Source organism: Homo sapiens, chromosome 2 (genome assembly GCF_000001405.40).
Source record: "Homo sapiens chromosome 2, GRCh38.p14 Primary Assembly".
In the NCBI taxonomy this organism is placed as follows: domain Eukaryota; kingdom Metazoa; phylum Chordata; class Mammalia; order Primates; family Hominidae; genus Homo; species Homo sapiens.
Window position 1 is genome coordinate 207999755 of NC_000002.12, and position 19586 is coordinate 208019340.

General features: G+C 41.1%; 1 protein-coding gene across 7 annotated transcripts in view; it reads right to left on the reverse strand.

The window, feature by feature from the left end:
* The window catches only part of PLEKHM3 (pleckstrin homology domain containing M3), a 204240-nt gene that overhangs the window by 178467 nt on the left and 6187 nt on the right, over positions 1-19586 (reverse strand). For all 7 annotated transcript variants that reach the window (XM_017004073.2, XM_005246545.4, NM_001080475.3 and 4 more), the window contains one exon: positions 1276-2203. In XM_017004073.2, coding sequence (XP_016859562.1) covers positions 1276-1885 — 610 coding nt within the window. In that variant the 5' untranslated portion in view covers positions 1886-2203. The remainder of the gene's footprint in view (positions 1-1275; positions 2204-19586) is intronic.

A 19586-nucleotide genomic window follows, 5' to 3' on the forward strand; every position in this document is an offset into this window, starting at 1 on the left:
GAAAAAGATGAATTTCAGGAACACTGCATTTGCTTAACAGACATATTAAACTATATCCTTGCCTCGGGTTACACTTATAAGCTAATTTTTATAATTAGAATGTTGAATGCATCAATAGAATACCATGCAATGATAGAAACTGAAGTAATACTAAAATAGCAGTGAAGTACCAAAAATGTCTCCTAGTTAATTGAGTAGAAGCCATCTACATTAAAGGATGAGTAGGGTGATTGAGAGTCATTAGCAATAAAAATTGATAGCCTGTATAAATGAGCTTATCTCAAAGGAAATTCTGGGGAAAATGGTGAGAGAGTTTGTTGTGTCTCACAGAAGAGCAAGTTCATGAGTACATATTCATGTGCACACATATGTGTATAAAGTATGAGGAGAAAGGAAATTCAAGACCCTCCGCCATGAGGGAGGACCTAACCACCCTCCCCAGCCATTTCCTTGTTACTGCTGGCTATGGGGTCCTTTGCTCTACTTGCCAGGGTCTGCTTGCTCTCTTCTGCACGCCCTTCTCCCCACCTTTGTTTACACCATAATCCTGACGAAGTGTCATGTCCTGTGACTCTATGTCTGCATCTTAGTGTCCTTCCAGATGTAGTTCAAGTTCCATGTCCCCTTGCAAGCCAAGCCCTTCCTGAGAAGCCCAACCCACAGTGTCTTCTCCTTCTTCTGTCCTTTTACGGTCACTGCCATTCACTCTTATATGGACAGAGTAAAATGAAAGCCCCTCCCACAATTTCAATGGCCCATCTATTGTCTCTCATTACCGAGTACCTTCTTGAGTCTTTGCTGGTGTTGGATCCCCTCAGCTAGATGAAAAGTTCTTTAGGGCAGGGATTGTGTCTTCACACATCTTTAAATCCTTCCTAGCATAGGCTCAGCCCAACGTACGATCTACTATAAGAACAGGCAGTATCATACAATGTGCACAGAAAAATACTATTAATACATTAAGTATGAGAGTATTCCGATTCTAACATACAAGATTAGAAAGGGAGAATTTACCGTAATTGTCTTTTCACTAAATACCTCTTAGGAAGATAATAAGACTGTAAAGTACACAAGAAAATGGAAGAGAGAGCTTAAATATGCAAGGCAGATGTGGATGCTGGAGCATAAGATTCTCATGAGCCAGATTAAGAGAGACAAAGGAAAAACCAACAATGATTCAGTAGAAGTCAGATATAAAAACATACAAGCTTATCTGAGTCACAGCCCCAAAAAGAAAAAAAAAAAAAAGGAAATAAATAAAATTTAAAAACATACCAGTATTTCCTTGAGCATCTTCTATCTTATTTGGTGAGGGCAACAGAAAAGATGGCCTGGTGACATGCGGGCCTTGAAGCAATGGCTGCTGCTGTTGCTGCTGCTGCAAAGGCGTGGTTTTGAGGACTACCCTCCAGTCCACTTGGGTAATATCTGATCGTGATCGAGCATGCCCTGGCTTGAAAGTTGAGGTCTCATCCAGTAAGTCATTTACAGAACGAGGCCGGTCCCTCCGACGCTGACAGATATTGAAGAAATTAAAGGTTGATGCTTCCTTTTGTTCCATCCAGGAAAGATTATCTGGGGTTGTCCCTCTCTGGACCATAAACTGTTCTTTGGCAGGGAAGACATTTTGAGCTTTGGTTTCTAAGAGCCTGCTCTTACAGTGGTCCCAAATCATGCCCCCCTTGCCCAGGGAGGTGACATTTCTCATAGCACCATTGTCTGTTATGTTACTGAGTACCTCATGCCCCACCAGTTCAGGGACTTCCTGGATCCCATAAACCTCTGCCTGCTGCACAGCCTTTTCTAGATTACTATCCAAAGTACTAAAGAATTCCTCCGTAACTTCTAAGGCTGGGCTGATATCATCCACTTCCAAAGCTTCCATGTCACAGGCTCCAGGAGGCCTTAGCCTCCTAAGCTGGTTCCAGAAATGGCTTCATGAACATTCACCCAACCAAGAGGGGTGCTTCAGCAATAGAGCTATGGAAACAACTGGAAGAAACCTTCATTGGGCTCCCTGGAGCAGGCCAAACCCAAAGTGGTTGATGTTTTCCTGGTAATTAAAAGCATTTGCTAGTGGCTAATGGGCATTAACAGATGTATAGGGAGACCAAATGTTCCTTTGAGATTATTCTTCAGTGAGACCTCTGTGAAGACAACAGCAAGTACTTGTCAAAGCAATGCCACGCCAATCCTTGATTTCCTGGAAGAAAATAAACAGGATAACATTGGCACATGGTTCATTGTATTCTACAGTACACAAGTCTGCCGAATTGCTTTCCCACCTCTATGCCCGTTCTATGGTACTCAAGCACAAAGGCAGACAACACCTACACAGAAGTGCCATTGTCAGGAATACATATCACTACCCGCTTTGGATAAAAACTTACACGGAGCAGGGAGGAACACTTGATAAGAGGAATTAAAGTCAATAGCTTTTACTCACACAGAGAAAATGCTTTGAGAGCATTTGTGAAAAGACTGCCCTGGCAAATCTCTGATATGCTGACCTAAAATAGTAAGCAAAAGAGACTAGGAATTCTGTGACTGGGCCTGTATCATAATCAGTCTAAAAGTCATAAATGCTTGAGTCCTTTCACAAACTTTGAAGGCACTGATGATTTGTTGGGTTTAAAGGTACCACAGGGAAGCAGAGAAGGAGGTTCTGCCCTTTTTTTAAATCCAAATGTGACTGTGCTTGTGCTTCTTAGACTTAGATTATATAATGCTTGATGATGACTCTGGACTTCAGAATTGCTCTGGCATTCTTACGGTTTCAGGCTCCAAACTCCCCAAGACTTCCAGGATTGGCCTCAGAGTATGGGTCCAGTCTGCAGGGTGTCTAAGAGCTTAAGGTGAAGTCATGGCCTGAATGGCAGGCTTGAGTTCATCCTTTTCTGTCTACAGAACTCAAGTTCCAAACCTTACATCTCTACCTGGGCAGAAAGAATCCTACATAAGCAGTAACCCATGCTTTCAAACACTAGATTACCAAGACCAGGCCAAATTAGAGCAGACCTTGACAATGATGCTGTCCAGTACAGTAGATAGTAGCCATTATGACCATTCAAACTTAAATTTAGTAAAGTCAAAGTTCCTCAGTCACACTAGTCACATTTCAAGTGCCCAACTGTCACATATACCTTTTACCAGGAAAAAAAAAAAAACAAATAAAACAACTAGGCAAGGGCTTTTTTAATCCTTAACTACTTATAAGTAGGCAAAACTAGGCAACTAGCAACACCATTATATATTGACATGGTTTGGTTGTGTCCCAACCCAAACCTCATCTTGAATTCCCATGTGTTGTGGGAGGGACCCAGTGGGAGGTAATCGAATCGTGGGGGCAGGTCTTTCCTGTGCTGTTATTGTGATAGTGAATAAGCCTCATGAGATCTGATAGTTTAAAAAGAGGAGTTTCCCTGCACAAGTTCTTCTCTTGTCTGCTGCCATGTGACACGTGCCTTTCACCTTCCACCATGATTCCAGCCATGTGGAATTGTAAGTCCAATAAAACACTTTCTTTTGTAAATTGCCCAGTCTTGGGGTATATCTTTATCAGCAGTGTGAAAACGGACTAATACATATATGTTATCGCAAAGGTAGATAGATGTGCTTTCTTTGTAAAAACTTCACAATTTTTATGGTTAAATTCATTTTTACCTCTTAGGTCATTAAACCACTACATTTATATCAACAGCACCAATCTACTTTGCTTAACCTATGTAAATTAAACTCATATATACAGACCTTTATTTTAGATCAAGGAGGTTTGCAGTTCATAGCACCTCTATAGAACCTCTTGCAAAGTGATAATGATTATGAATTTGTCTACTTTTATATATTTTGATATTTATTATGTTAGTACTTCATGAAGCAAGGCACAGATTTATTTTTAGAGATATACATTAGTTATAAAACATTTCTAGCTGTAAACAGGGTTTTTTTCTGAGTCTAAAGTTAAACCTTCAGTCTCTCCAACTATGTAACAGGGTTTTAGTGCTTCTGTAATTTTGAAACTTGGGATATTTTTCAATTTCATCTTGTATACCAGAGACGGAAATATACATAAATATAATAAATCTTAAAACGTTTTGTTCTTTCCTTACTAAAAACTGAAATGAACATAAACAAAGTACAAGTTTCCCATTTTATAAAGAAGGCACCAAGGTTCAGAGCATTAAGTTGTTAATTGAAGATTACTGATATTCCTTTTCTCATCCAGTGTTTCAAATTTAGTCTTTACTCATGATAAGGTGCAAATAACCTTCAAAAAATTATTTGTTTCTTTCTCTTTTTTTTTTGATTTATCAAACTATCTAGATATATTATTTTTTATGCTTCTGGCTTGGTATTTGCAGGATGGTTAGAAGTATATAACAGGCCAGGTGCAGTGGCTCATGCCTGTAATCCCAGCACTGTGGGAGGCAGGCAGATCACTTGATCCACCAAGAGTTTGAGACCAGCCTGGCCAACATGGTGAAACCTCATCTCTGCTAAAAATACAAAAATGAGCCAGTCATGATGGTGTGCACCTGTAGTCCCAGCTACTCGGGAGGCTGAGGTGGGAGGAGGATCATTTGAACCAGAGAGTCGGAGGTTGCAGTGAGCTGAGATCACGCCACTGCACTCCAGCCTGGGCAACAGAGCAATGCCCTGTCTCAAAAAAAAAAAAAAATGTATATCACCATTGTTGGCCATGCTGGTTGGTGGAATACTTCTAACCCACATGGTCTAAAGCCATAGACTGTTAGACAAGGAAATTGGCCTTTGGGATTATGTTTTCAACCTTAGTATTTCATAGAAGAAGCCACTGAGGCCCAAAGAAGGTAAGAGGCCCCACGAGCACTTTCATGCTCTTAAACTTGCAGACAAGTTTTCACCTCAGGGCCTTTGCATTTGCTCTTCCCCCAGATACCCCAACATGGACAACTCTCTCCTTAGGTAATTGTTCATATGACCCTCCCTGACCACCCTCTTTAAAATTATAATGCAGTTCTCTGCCCTAGACTCTTGATCTCCCTTACTCTGCTTCTGTTTAAATAAACTTTTCATTTTAAAACAGTTTTTTGTTTGTTTGTTTTTTTCAAGACGGAGTTTTGCTCTTTCGCCCAGGCTAGAGTGAAGTGGCACGATTTCAGCTCACTGCAACCTCTACCCCACGGCGTTCAAGCGATTCTCCTGCCTCAACCTCCTGAGTAGTGGGGATTAAAGGCGCCCGCCACCACGCCTGGCTAATTTTTGTATTTTTAGTAGAGACGGTGTTTCACCATGTTGCCAGGCTGGTCTTGAACTCTTGAACTCTGGTGATCCGCCCACCTTGGCCTCCCAAAGTGCTAGGATTACAGGCGTGAGGCACCACTCCTGGCCAACAGTTTTATATCTATAAAATTATTACAAAGATAATACACTCAGTTCCTATATACCCCATGCTCAGTTTCCTCTATGTAACATCTCACATTAGTATGATGCATTTGTCACAATTAATGAACCAATATTGTTACATTATTATTAACTTAAGTCTATACTTTTTTCAGAATTCTTCATATTTCCCTAATGTCCTCTATCTATTCCAGGATCCTATACAGGATACCACATGACATTTAGTTGTCATGTTTCTTGGGCCTTGTGTTGGCTATGACAATGTCTCAGACTTTACCTGTTTTTGATGTCTTTGACAGTTTTGAGGAGTAATAGTCAGGTATTTCATAGAATGTCCCTCATTTTGGACATGTCTGATGTTTTTCTCATTATTAAACCAGGGCTATATGTTTTTGAGTGGAAGCCCACGGAGGCAAAGTACCATTCTCATCATATAATATTAAGGTTATATACTATGAACATGACTTACTACTGTTCATGTTAACCTTGATCACCTGGCTTGAGGTACCCTTTTTCCTTAAGCATTTGCCATCTTCTAACATACCATTTAATTGACTTATTTAACATTTAGTGTTTCTCTCTCTCCACTAAAATATAAGCTCTACAAGTCCAGGAATTTGTGTTCATTGTGTTCACTAATGGACCCCAAATACATGGAATAGTGTTTGGCACACACACACACGCATGTGCATGCGTTGAACAAATGCATTGTTGTCGCATTGCATAAGAGATAGCGCCTCATGACCTATCTACTTCTCCAGTTTAAAGTTCTTGACGAACACCCACCCACCTTGTTGTTTTACTCCTCCATGCTTTTGTCCAAATTGGGACAAAAGCATAAGAGCCCTTCCTAGTCGGTCAGGCTCTCATAGCACCTGGGTTTGCCAAATTGTACCAAAATGATCAGCCAGTCTCTCTAGATCCTACTCTAAACTCTGAGCTACTTGACTGCAGACACCGTGACCTTCTTACTTATCTTCCTAAATACTCTGTCTTCATTCTTTTAGGCTCTGTTTTCCAACCTTACTCTTTGGAATTTCATCTTTTTCCTGAGCTCTATAGCCCTCAAATTCACTACAGTACAACAGTCTGATGTCAAGTTTAATTTCTATAATTGAGTACTTCTTACTAGCTTGCCTCATTTAGTTTTGAAATTAATCAAAATATAATAAATATATTCAGATAGGTCAAAATATAAAGGGGACCTTCCTCTGACAAAGTGAAGGGAATAAGATCAGCATGTGGGTGCAGTGTGGCTTGCCTCAGTACAAAACTGGAAATCAGGAGCTAATTAGAACTGTGTTCTAAATCTGGCTCAACCACTCACTTGCTGGGTGGCCTCTGGCAAACCATTTAACCTCTGCATGCCTTACTCAGCTACCTGTATCCCATAGAGTTGCTAACATCGAATTGCTTTGCGTGTGGATCATTCACTAGGTAGCTGCTCCAACATGCCTTTACAAATGTAAACTGCTACATAATTATGGAGCACTCCATTGGACCTCACCCATTCAACAACCAAGTGTTCCTCATCTCTTCCTGGAAAGATCTGTCAGTCCAACAAAGGCAAAGTCAGCAACGAACTATTTATAATACACTGCTTTTCAGCCAAACTCAGTGACCTATAGACATTTTATCTTATATTTGTATAGAATGCCCTTTCTGTAAGAAGGGGTATTTCCCCTATTTAATAGATTGAGAAATTGAGGAAATAAAAGAGCTCAACCCAAAGAATCCTATGCATGCATCAAAACGAATCAGTGTATCGCTATTTCCTAACTAAGAAATCTGTTTTTTACATGCTCGTTAGGCAAGGCTAATTAACAGGATGAATACAGTAGTTCTCCCACACAGAGACAGAAGCACTTATGAGTAATAATTCTACCCTGACTCACACAGAGATGCTGTGTCCTCCTGAGCTGGACGGTAAAAGCGCTGACTTCCTCCCTCTTAGCTAAGTGACTTAGAATATTATGAGTGCTGAAGGTGTCTGGGGCCATATCATTTTAGAAGCAGCTGGACTGGGAAGAAAACTGCAATGGCAAAGACACCTAGGACAACTTATGTCTATCAATTTTCAAAAATAAGAGCCAAGGGTGATTACAAGGATGGTCCACATTGAGGGCGTTCACATCACCTTGGTTGAAGGTTGTGGCCGACTGAGAATTTTCTAAGAGTTACATAATGTGAAGGACACACCACAAGAGGATCTGCCCCTAGTAAAATGGCCTTTCTGGACCACGAGGCTACATGGTGACGTAAGGATGTGGATGGAGCACAGGCATGCCGCAAGCAGCTAGTAAGGAAATGGTGCCAGGGTGGACCTCATAAAAAGAGCTCAGAGGCCTATCAGATGAAACAGACAGCTAGAAACACAGATGGAATCCCATTTTCATAGGTTTGAAGCAAACATTAAATTGCTACATTTTATCTAAGTTTAAATGAAAGAGAAGACTATTGCCACATACATAAAGAGCATACCATTAAAAAAATAATTTGGGCTGGAGGTGGTGGCTCACACCTATAATCCCAGCACTTTGGGAGGCTGAGGCAGGAGGATAACTTGAGGCCAGGAGTTCAAGACCAGCCTAGGCAACATAGTGAGACCCTTTCTCTACAAACAAAAAATTAAAAATAGGCCGGGCGCAGTGGCTCATGCCTGTAATCCCAGCACTTTGGGAGGCCAAGGCGGGTGGATCACAAGGTCAGGAGATGGAGACCATCCTGGCTAACATGGTGAAACCTCATCTACTAAAAATACAAAAAATTAGCTGAGCATGGTGGCGGGTACCTGTAGTCCCAGCTACTCGGGAGGCTGAGGCAGGAGAATGGCGTGAACCCGGGAGGCGGAGCTTGCAGTGAGCCAAGATTGCACCACTGCACTCCAGCCTGGGCGACAGAGTGAGACTGTATCTCAAAAATAAATAAATAAATAAAACTAAAAATAAAAAATTAGTCAGGTGTGGTGGCATGTGCCTGTAGTCCCAGCTATTCAGGGGGCTAAGGCAAGAGGATCCCTTGAGCCCAGGAGTTCAAGGTCGTAGTAAGCTGTGATTGAACTACTGCGCTCCAGCCTGGGGGACAGAGTGAGACCCTGTCTCAAAATAAATAAATAAATAAAAATAATTTATATAATTTTTTTCCAGTTCTAAAAGTAATAAATACTTGTAGAAACTCTGGTAAATAGTGACAGATATGGAAAAGAAAATAAAAATCAGTCATGATCTCATAACTCAGTGAAAATAAATAGGTGTACTTTTATCCAATATTTAATTGGAATCAAAACTATATACACAGTTTGGGCACACTGTTTGTTTAAATGTATGCTCCAAAAAAATCAAATACCAGTAAATACTAACCTTGCCAAAAAAAAAAAAAAAAAAAAAAAACAGACAAAAAAAAATGTCCCAGGGAGTGCTGTGCCTACTTATACCTTACAACCTGACACAAGACCCCACTCAATTGAACTTCTCTTCTATAGCCACCAAGGGACCTCCTTGTTACACAGCCATTAGTGTTTCCCAAAGTCCTTAAATTCCTTGTGCTGTTAACCAGCCCCTCCTTAAAAGTTTCCTCCCAGGGTTTTGTGGGTACCACATTCACTGAAGTTTTCTTCTCATTTCTACCCACTTAGTCTCCATCTTCTTCCTTCCCTTCCTGGTCAAATAGGGGTGTTGTCTGAGCTCTCTTCTCTGGCTAGAGCTACATGATGTTCTCCTTAAATCAAGTTATCCACACGTGCAACTCCAATAACTTCTTCTATATTCACGCTGTTCAAATTTCTACCTTCAGTCTCAATCTCAGAATTGACTTCTGGTCCTATGTTCCCAGCTATTTGTAAGACATTTCTACCTGGCTTACTAAGCTCCATTTGTCTAAAATTACACTCAGTTATTTATTCAGTAAGTATTTGCTGAGTGCCTACTATGGGGGGGACACTGTTCTGGGCACCAGGGAAACCCTTCGACGAAGCTCCCATTGACAACAAGGTTCAACTCTTTAACCTGACATTCTAGGCCTTTCACAATCTTGGGCTAGTTTGCCATTCCAACTTTCTACTTCAATTCACACACTCTTTACCTCCAAACTGAATGCTATTGCTTTTCCAGTTATTTCAGGAAAGGCTTGCAGTTATCTCTGAAATACCCTCTTCCCACCTCAACCTACTGAAATTCTATTCTTCAAGGCCCAGCTCAAATGCCACCTCTTCCGCAAGCTTTTTTGGGTCCCTGATCCTAAAATGGTCTGTTCTTTCTTTAAACTGCCACTGAATATCTTTGGTACCTCCCCCACAACATATACTATATGCTGCATGTTCCTTCTCAAATGACGATGACAATAATTACAGGTTATCAAAAGCCTATTTTGTGCCAGGTATGTCGCTTGGTATTTCATATCTCTAAGCCCCAAAATGTACAATGTGAGTACTATTACCCTCATTTTACGAATGAGGAAGCTCAATGATATCAAGTAACTTACCTGATATCAAGTAACACGCCTACCTACTGGACTTAGAGGAACTTGAAAGCAGCAATTCTGCCCTCTTCCATTTGTGTAACTCTCACTGGGCCTAGAACTGTGGTTAGTACACAGTGGGTACTCAGTAAGCATTTGCCAAATGAATAACTGAATAAACAGTATATTTTCAAGCCACTGACATCTGTAAGTATATATACCACTCTAGTTTCCTGGCAAAATTATATTTGAATTCCTTATAGGCTCATTTCAGTAAAATTTGACATACTTTCCGAAACGTTATGTTGACTCAAGCTTTTACATTTTTTTCTTGGTAGAAAAGTCTTCCTAACTATTAAAACCTGGGTTTAAAAAATAATATGGCAAAGATCAGGTAGCAAAAACCTCACTCAGACCTTTTATAGAAACCAAAGCACCTATGCATTACTTAGGAATTGTCCTGTGAACCACTACACTATCAGCAACTTGGCTGGGTTCATTTTCCAATGACTTAGAGCTCAAGCTCTTTACAACACCAGTAATGAGATGTTCCCTTTGAAGTAGTCCCAACAATCCATTTAAAGCATTTTTCAGTACATCTCTGCACATGTTTATTGTTTGCCACCTGCAAAATCATTGAGACATTTGCTGCCTCAGAAACCTAACTAAATATAAGCATGGCACTTTAAATCTCAGATTGCTTTGCGACTGAAGGCAGCAGTGTTACTGCACCTTTATGTGAAATTGGAAAACCAAAATGGCCCATTTTCATAAAACCACCAGAGATCCAATATGTCTTGCTCTTAGAAACAAAGCAGGAAGACACAAACTTCAGTTACGAAATGTCTAAAAATGCAGACTTGATGTTTTCCATCTCCCTTTGCCTCCATGGCAGAGAACACTGACTAGAAAACAAACAAAAGAACCACTTGAATTAGCTTTATCTTGGGACTGAGAGGAAGAAGGCAAAAACTTCCATGATAAAAACTTTATCAGCCTCCAACTGCAACAGGAGTCACAGGTGAGGTGCAAGTAGGTTCCATCAGGGCCAAGCCAGCTAGTGTGGCTGACTGCAACAGTGAATGTAACAAGGAAGTACAGTGAGACCAAATATGCAAGATACCCAGAAAGGGCTGGGGAAGTAGACTTAAAGATGTCATCAGTTTATATAACTATTTAGAATCTTCTACTTGAGCCTGAGTAATAGAGGCTGTGTTTCTAAATTCAATACAGGACTGTGTTTATCTAATTATCTCACAAAACTAAAACTGAGTTAATCTCAGGAAAAAATCACTTGGTTTTTACAGAAAATAATCATTTTTCACATGCATGGTTTAGAATAAAGTTTAAAGTGCTTGATAACAAATGGCCAATACATATATGAAAAAATGCTCAACATCACTAATGATCAGGGAAATGCAAACCAAAACCACAATGTGATACCACCTTACTCCTGCAAGAATGGCCATAATCAAAAAAAAAAAAAAAAAAACAAAATAGATGTTGGCGTGGATGTGGTGAAAAGGGAACACTTCTACACTGCTGGTGGGAATGTAAGATAGTACAGCCACCATGGAAAATAGTGTGGCGATTCCTTTAAGAACTAAAAGTAGAACTACCATTTGACCCAGCAATCCCACTACTAGGTATCTACCCAAAGGAAAAGAAGTCATTATACGAAAAAGACACTTGCACATGCATGTTTATCGTAGCACAATTTGCAGCTGCGAAAATGTGGAACCAACCCAAATGCTCATCAATCAACGAATAGAAAGAAACTGTGAGATATATATATCTATACATCATATAGATATATATGATGCACTACTACTCAGCCATAAAAAGGAATCAATTAATGGCATTTACAGCAACCTGGATGGGATTGGAGACTACTATTCTAAGTGAAGTAACTCAGGAATGAAAAACCAAACATCGTATGTTCTCACTCACAAATGGGAGCTAAGCTATGAGGATTCAAAGGCATAAGAATGAGAAAATAGACTTTGGGGACTTAGGGGGACAGGGTGGGGAGGGGGTGAGGAATAAAAGACTACAAATCGGGTTCAGTGTATACTGCCTGGGGGATGGTTGCACCAAAATCTCACAAGTCACCACTAAAGAACTTAGTAACTAAATACCTCCTGTTCCCCACAAACCTATGGAATAAAAAAAATTTTTAAGTGCTCTGATAAACTTTTTTTTTTTTTTTTTTTTTTTTTTTTTGAGACGGAGCTTCACTCTTGTTGCCCAGGCTAGAGTGCAATGGTGTGATCTCGGCTCACGGCAACCTCTGCCTCCTAGGTTCAAGTGACTCTCCTGCTCAGCCTCCTGAGTAACTGGGATTACAGGTGTCCGCCACCAGGCCTGGCTAATCTTTTGTATTTTTAGTAGAGATGGGGTTTCATCATATTGGCCAGGCTGGTCTCGAACTCTGATAAACTTCTTTATTTTATTTATTTATTGTTTTTGAGACGGAGTCTCGCTCTGTCGCCCAGGCTGGAGTCCAGTGGCACGATCTCAGCTCACTGCAAACTCTGCCTCCCGGGTTCACACCATTCTCCTGCCTCAGCCTCCCGAGTAGCTGGGACTACAGGTGCCCGCCACCACGCCCGGCTAATTTTTTTGTATTTTTTAGTAGAGACGGGGTTTCACCGTGTTAGCCAGGATGGTTTCCATCTCCTGAGCTCATGATCCGCCTGCCTGATAAACTTCTTAATAAATACTTGTAGTAACCTCAAAAAAGAGAGGTGAGTAAAGTAATGGGACTATTTTAAAGATGATGAAAGAGAACCCATGATTCATTTATTGTCAATTGTAGTTCCCAAAGAAAAGAAAACGAAGTTCCTCAAATCCTTGTCTAATTACTGAGTACTTTGGGCCACCCAAGTTCAATTACCTTTTAAATCACCTTAAATCATACAGGGGCCCTGATGTTAGTAGAAGGACCATAAACAAGGAGTGAGTAGGCTGAATCCAACCCCTCAGCCACTCAGACTAAGTATTGAGTTTGTTCAGTGTGAGAGAAGTGTGGCAATGGGAAGAACATAAATTTATGACACCAGGAAAGGGTCATGTCCCCACACTGCCTTCTGAGCTAACTGACATCCAGCAAGTCAGGCTGACTCAGGGCCTCTGTGCCCTTCTTATCTGCAAATGGAAGTCCTGCCAATGCCTGCTCCCATCTACCTGAGAAAGCAGAGAAGCACAAATGTGGACAAAGTATGTGAAAGTTCTTTACAAACTCTAAAACAATTACTACTTCTATTAGAAGTTAGCTGATTTCTAATCACATAACCATTTATCCTCAACAAGCATTTATAGAGGACGGACCAAGTACCCAAACACTATGTGAGATATTAGACACAAAACACAGCTCCTGCTCTTGAAGAGCTAAATAGCTAGTGGAAAGTAAGACACAAAACCAAATATAAAAAGCACTTCAACAGAAGTATACAAAGGTGTTATACAAGCATAAATAAGGAATCATTACTAATTAAGGGACAATAAAGAATTTTAAGTAACAGAACACAATTAAATGACAATGATAGGTATACAGAGATTACTTCAGTCGAAAGAAATCAAAAACAAAGGAAACAAAAACATACAACAAAACCAATCATTCCTGCTCCAGCAATCATGCTGTGGGCCAGGCATGGTGGCTCATGCCTATAATCCCAGCACTTTGGGAGGTCGAGGCAGGCAGATCACGAGGTCAGGAGTTTGAGATCAGCCTGGCCAACATAGCGAAACCCCATCTCTACTAAAAATATAAAAATTAGCCAGGCATGGTGGCGCGTGCCTGTAGTCCCAGTTACTGAGGAGGCTGAGGCAGGAGAATTGCTTAAACCCAGGAGGCGGAGGTTGTGGTGAGCCGAGATCACACCACTGCACTCCCGCCTGGGCAACAGAGCAAGACTCCATCTCAAAAAGAAAAAAAAAAAAAGAAATCATGCTGCTTCTTGCATGAAGCTGTCAGCCTACAATAACAGCCTCAAAGGTTCCACCAGAGAGTGAGCACTATGTGAACTAACAACCACACATGGAAGGCAAGAATGCAAAGGCCTTCTTCACAAGCTGTTCAAGTCTTTCTGACCCACAGACACATTCCTGTCCAACAGAAGGCCTTTGCTGGGTGGTGAGGATGTCATGGGAAATTAATAATTCCCTCACTTCCTGTTGACTTTAACTCTTTTGGTCATTGCAACTCACCAGCAGAAGGGAGAATACTTAAAACTTTAACCTTCAAAACAACAACCGGCTTATGGCTTAGCACACTCTCACAAACCAGTTTCTATGGGCATTCAGAGTAAATGTATGAGAGAAGTAATTAGTTGATTTATTTTCTGTCTCTGCTGAACTTGAACCTGCTAAAAAGTGAGCCTAGGTCTTTGTTAACTGGCATCCCGAGAGTATGAGACCAGTGATAAGATCTAAGCAAAAAGGTGACTCACCTCTTGTTTGAAAGGGCAGACATACTCAGCAGTGATGGGCTGCATCTATGACCTCTCCCTCCCTTTTGGACTTAATCTGTGACAACAACCTTGGCTACCAATCAGCCTCTTAACCAATTTAGTCAGGAAACAAGCAAGGCTGGCAAAGGCAGACAAAACACTGTCTCTGACCCTCAAAGATAAGCACAAGATAAGGCAAAATAACAGAATGAGTCTTTGTCATTTAACTATACACAAATTGAAGGACAGAAGAATCTCTGCCCATCACACAGGACAGAAGAAAAGCTTATAAGGTATGAAGGATAAGAATAGTAGGAACTGGCCGTGTGCAGTGGCTCATGCCTGTAATCCCAGCACTTTGGAGGCCGAGGCGGGCAGATCACCTGAGGTCAGGAGTTTGGGACCAGCCTGGCCAACATGGTGAAACCCCGTCTCTACTAAAAATACAAAAGTTAGCTGGCCGTGGTGGCAGGCGCCTGTAATCCTAGCTACTCGGGAGGCTGAGGCAGGAGAATCACTTGAACTTGGGAGGCAGAGGTTGCAGTGGGCTAAGATTGCGCCACTGCACTCTGGCCTGGGCCACAGAGTCAGACTCCATCTCAAAAAACAAAAAAGAGTAGTAAGAACTATGTTTTCATCCCCCTAATCTGGGTTTACATTAAAACAGTTTCTGAATTTCTTTTATTATGGACTATTACCATTAGCATGGCATAGATTTTTATCAAACAATGCCTGAACATTCTGGAGTTGAATTCTGGGGCTCTGACTGATCCATACTTCTCGGATTGTTTTGCTCTGACATTAGGATGATAGGCATATGATAGCTGGGACTCAAATAGTTGAATCAGGCACTGCTACGGCTATGCTAATCTCTTTAAACATGTCCTGCAGAGGACACCTTCAATGTGGATGGACACATTTTAAAGGTAGAATGATATATTTGATAAAATGTTTAAAAACAAAATATAGTTCTTATAAGTTCTAATCTAAGACCAAGATTAAAAAGTTATAGCTAATATTTATTGCATACTTACTAAAGTACTTACTACTTAACGTATGTTAAGCCTTTTACTGCATTATGTTGTTAAATCCTCACAACCACCCTATTAGAGAGCTGCTATTATTACTACTTTACAGACAAGGAAACTGAGATTTAAAAAGATGAAGTTACTTATCTAGGGAAATATGGTCAGTGAGTAGAAACAAGACTCTAAGATACACACACAGCCCCATAAGACAATTCAAAGCAAATTAATTACCCTGGGATAATATGGCTAAAATTTTAGTACATGAACATGGTGCTTCAAATTTTAGTGTCAAACACCAGCAACTTTATTATTTATTTCAAAATCTGTTTGTTAATCCCATGACCCAGAGAGTTAATTGCTAAATATCATATTTACACCCAGGGAAGTAGTTTATAGTTAATTTACAAAAAAAAATCACCTCTATAATACTTCTGTGTTATTATTATAAGTTCTCTACGGGAATGGTAGAAGACAGGTTCCTGAACAAACACAGTAAAAAGTTGTTCTCTAACTAAATAGCTAACCTCAATTGTCTTAGTGACCTTGGACACATTACTTGGAATGTTTGCAAGAGTATAATAACTGTGACTTCATTTAGGTGAAACAAGTGCTTCTGCAAATGTTTACATAGTCCTAATTGCCCAAGCCTTTTACTAGTGTTTCCCTGCAACATCATTTTTTATTTAGCCAATAAATAGAAACACTTGTAAAAATGTTTACTTAAAACAACCTGCAAACAAATGTTTCTGTCAAAAGAATTAAAAGAAATATTTCAAATTAGATGTTACAATCGATAATTCAAACATATTTTGATGATTAAGGCATATTGAAATAAATCGCTGGCCAGGCACGGTGGCTCATGCCCGTAATCCCAGCACTTTGGGAGGCCGAGGCAGGTGGATCACCTGAGGTGAGGAGTTCGAGACCAGCCTGGCCAAAATGGAGAAACCCTGTCTCTATTAAAAATACAAAAATTAGCTGGTTGTGGTGGTGGGTGCCTGTAATCGCAGCTACTCGGGAGGCTGAGGCAGGAGAATCTCTTGAAACCAGGAGGCAGAGGTTGCAGTGAGCCGAGATTGCACCATTGCACTCCAGCCTGGGCGACAGAGAGAGACTCCATCTCAAATAAATAAATACATAAATAAATAAAATAAACTGCCTCCTTCTAAAACTAACTTGACTTTTGTTGGGGGGACGGGCAAATATCAATGTATGTAGGGTTCAAACAAAATAACAAAATTGAGCCACAACCTTCAGTCTTGTTTCTATAATCTACTAAAAGATGATATGCTGGCTAGGTGTGGTGGTTCACACCTATAATCCCAGCACTTTGGGGGGAGATGGTGGCAGGTGGATCTCCTGAGCTCAGGAGTTTGAGATCAGCCTGGGGAACAGGGTGAAACCCTGTCTCTACCCAAAATACAAAACACTAGCCAGTCATGGTGGCGCATGGCTGTGGTCCCAGCTACTCAGGAGGCTGAGGTGGGAGAACTGCTGGAGCCTTGGGAGGCAGAGATTGCAGTGAGCCGAGACCGAGCCACTGTACTCCAACCTGGGTGACAGAGTGAGACTTTGTCTCAAAAAAAAAAAAAAAAAAAATACACACACACACACACACACACACACCCTGGTTTCATATTACCATACTACCATGAAAATACAGAGACCATAGCTAACCTTTCAGCGTGAGGCAACCACTTTTGAACCACAATATTTGGAATTAGCCAATCCGGGTCTCAATTTTCTATGTATCATTATGAGAAGTGTGATTTTTGACAAGCAACTTGAATCTGAATTTCAGTTACTCCGTATCCATGGGGGACTGGTTCCAGGATCCCCTCAGATACTAAAATCCACAGATGCTCAAGTCCCTCATATAAAATTATGCAATATTTGCATATAACCTACGCACATCCTCCTGTAAGTCATCTCTAGGTTACTTACAATATCTATTACAGTGCCTACACATCCTCTCATTTGGTGGAGTCAATGTAGTATTCAGCATTTAGCAAACTCAAGTTTTGCCTTTTGGAACTCTGTGGAATTTTTTTTTCCTAATATTTTTGATCCATGGTTGGTTGAATCTGCTGATGTGGATCCCACAGATGTAGAGGGCCAACTGTAATTGTCTGTGATGTGAGGAAAATAAGGATAACTGTCTCACCTTTTTTGGAGTGCAAATCAAATAACATAATGTAGTGTTTTATGAACTCCAAAGCAGTGTACAGGATGCCCACTGGTGTCTGATACCAACAAAAAGGTCACCACATTCTCTTTGATCTCCATTATAAACCAACGAACTGGTGGAGGGAGTGGCGACAGAGTTTAGGAAGCTTTGAAATAAGGTTTTAATCTACTCAAGGTTCCTCCAGCATTTTCAAGGCAGTAAGAGTTTGCTGTGCATCAGCTTTTCTGGTGGTCTTGGAAAGGAGGGATTCAGTGGCGCAAGTGTTGCATAAAAATTCAAACGGAATATCTCTTCTCAAAAAAGTAAAAAATGAATAAAATCCATCTTTGCCACCCAAGTTCCCCCACAGCTAGGATACTTTCCCCTTCCTCTCTTTTTTCTTGTAAGTTTCTTGAAGAAACTTGTTCTTTATGCTTTCTGACTCCATTTCTCATTGCCCATTCATTCTCCCCTCAAGAAGCAGTCTGATTCTGCCCCAGCTGAAACTTCACAGGAAAAGGTCACCAGTGATTTTCTTTTTGCTAAACCCTAAAGACTTTTCACTCAGCATCTGACCTAACCACACAGCAGTATTTGACCTACTGAACACCCACTCTTTCCACTGCTCTCATGAATTCACAGATGCTCTCTCCTGGTATTTCTCCTTCAACTCTGGAGGCTCCTCCCACTACCCTCTATGGGTTCCCCTTCCTATGCCCATATCGTAAATGTGGGTATTCCTGTTTTGCCCATAACCCTCTTATCTAGTTTCTCTTCTGCCCTCCCCAAGTGATCTTCTCCATCCTGTGGCTTTAGCTGCAATCCACGTGGCAGACAAGAAACATATTACTCTCCGGCTGGGCGCAGTGGTTCACGCCTGTAATCCCAGCACTTTGGGAGGCCAAGGCGGGTGGATCACAAGGTCAAGAGATCGAGACAATCCTGGCCAACATGGTGAAACCCCATCTCTACCAAAAATACAAAAATTAGCTGGGAGTAGTGGCATGTGCCTGTAGTCCCAGCTACTCCAGAGGCTGAGGCAGGAGAATTGTTTGAACCTGGGAGGCGGAAGTTGCAGTGAGCCAAGATCATGCCACTGAACTCTGACCTGGCAACAGAGCAAGACTCTGTCTCAAAAAAAAAAAAAGAAAAGAAAAGAAAAAAAAAAAAAGAAACATACTACTCTCAAGCTCTATATCTGCATATGCGACAGAGAACTCATCTTGCCTCAAACCTGCCCCTCCTCCCAACATTCACCATAGAGTAAAGGACATATCCTCTGTCCCCAAAAAATAAACATCATTCTTGATCCTTCTGGCTCCCTCACCTGCAATCACTCCAAATTAGCCAGTCATATGAATTCTCATCTACAGCATTGGCCACATCTATCCATTTCTCTGTCTCCGTTGCCTTCATGCAATCACCACCATCCAGTCTTCTTCCTTTCAGTCTTACCCTCCTCTAATCCATTCACCACACTGCAACCAAAATGTTCTTTCCAAAATTAAAACCTATTGCCATTTGGATAAACTACACACATCTTAACATTACCTGAAAGAGTTTATGGCCACTTACCTTCTTGGCCTTATCTCTTTAATCTCTCTCTCTACCCCTACCCTCACCCCACACCCACTCCCACCTCAACCCCACTCTATATCTACATATAAAGAATTTATAGAGGCCAGGAGCAGTAGCTGATGCCTGTAATCCCAGCACTTTGAGCTGTGATTGTGCCACTGCATCTCACAAAAAAAAAAAAGAAAGGATTTATAGAAACTGGGACCAGGTGTGGTGGCTCACACCTGTAATCCCAGCACTTTGGGAGGTCAAGATGGGAGGACTGCTGGAGGCTAGGGGTTCAAGACCATCCTGAGCAACATAGTGAGACCCCCATCTCTACAAAAAAAAAAAATTTAAAGTTAACCAGGCATGGGGGCGTGAACCTATAGTCCTAGCTATGCAGTAGGCTGAGGTAGGAGGATCGCTTGGGCTCAGGAGTTTGAGGCTGCAGTGAGCTATGATCACACCACTGCACTCCAGCCTGGGCAACAGAACAAGACCCTGTCTGAAAACAAAACCAAACCTGGAATTTTCCACTTGCTT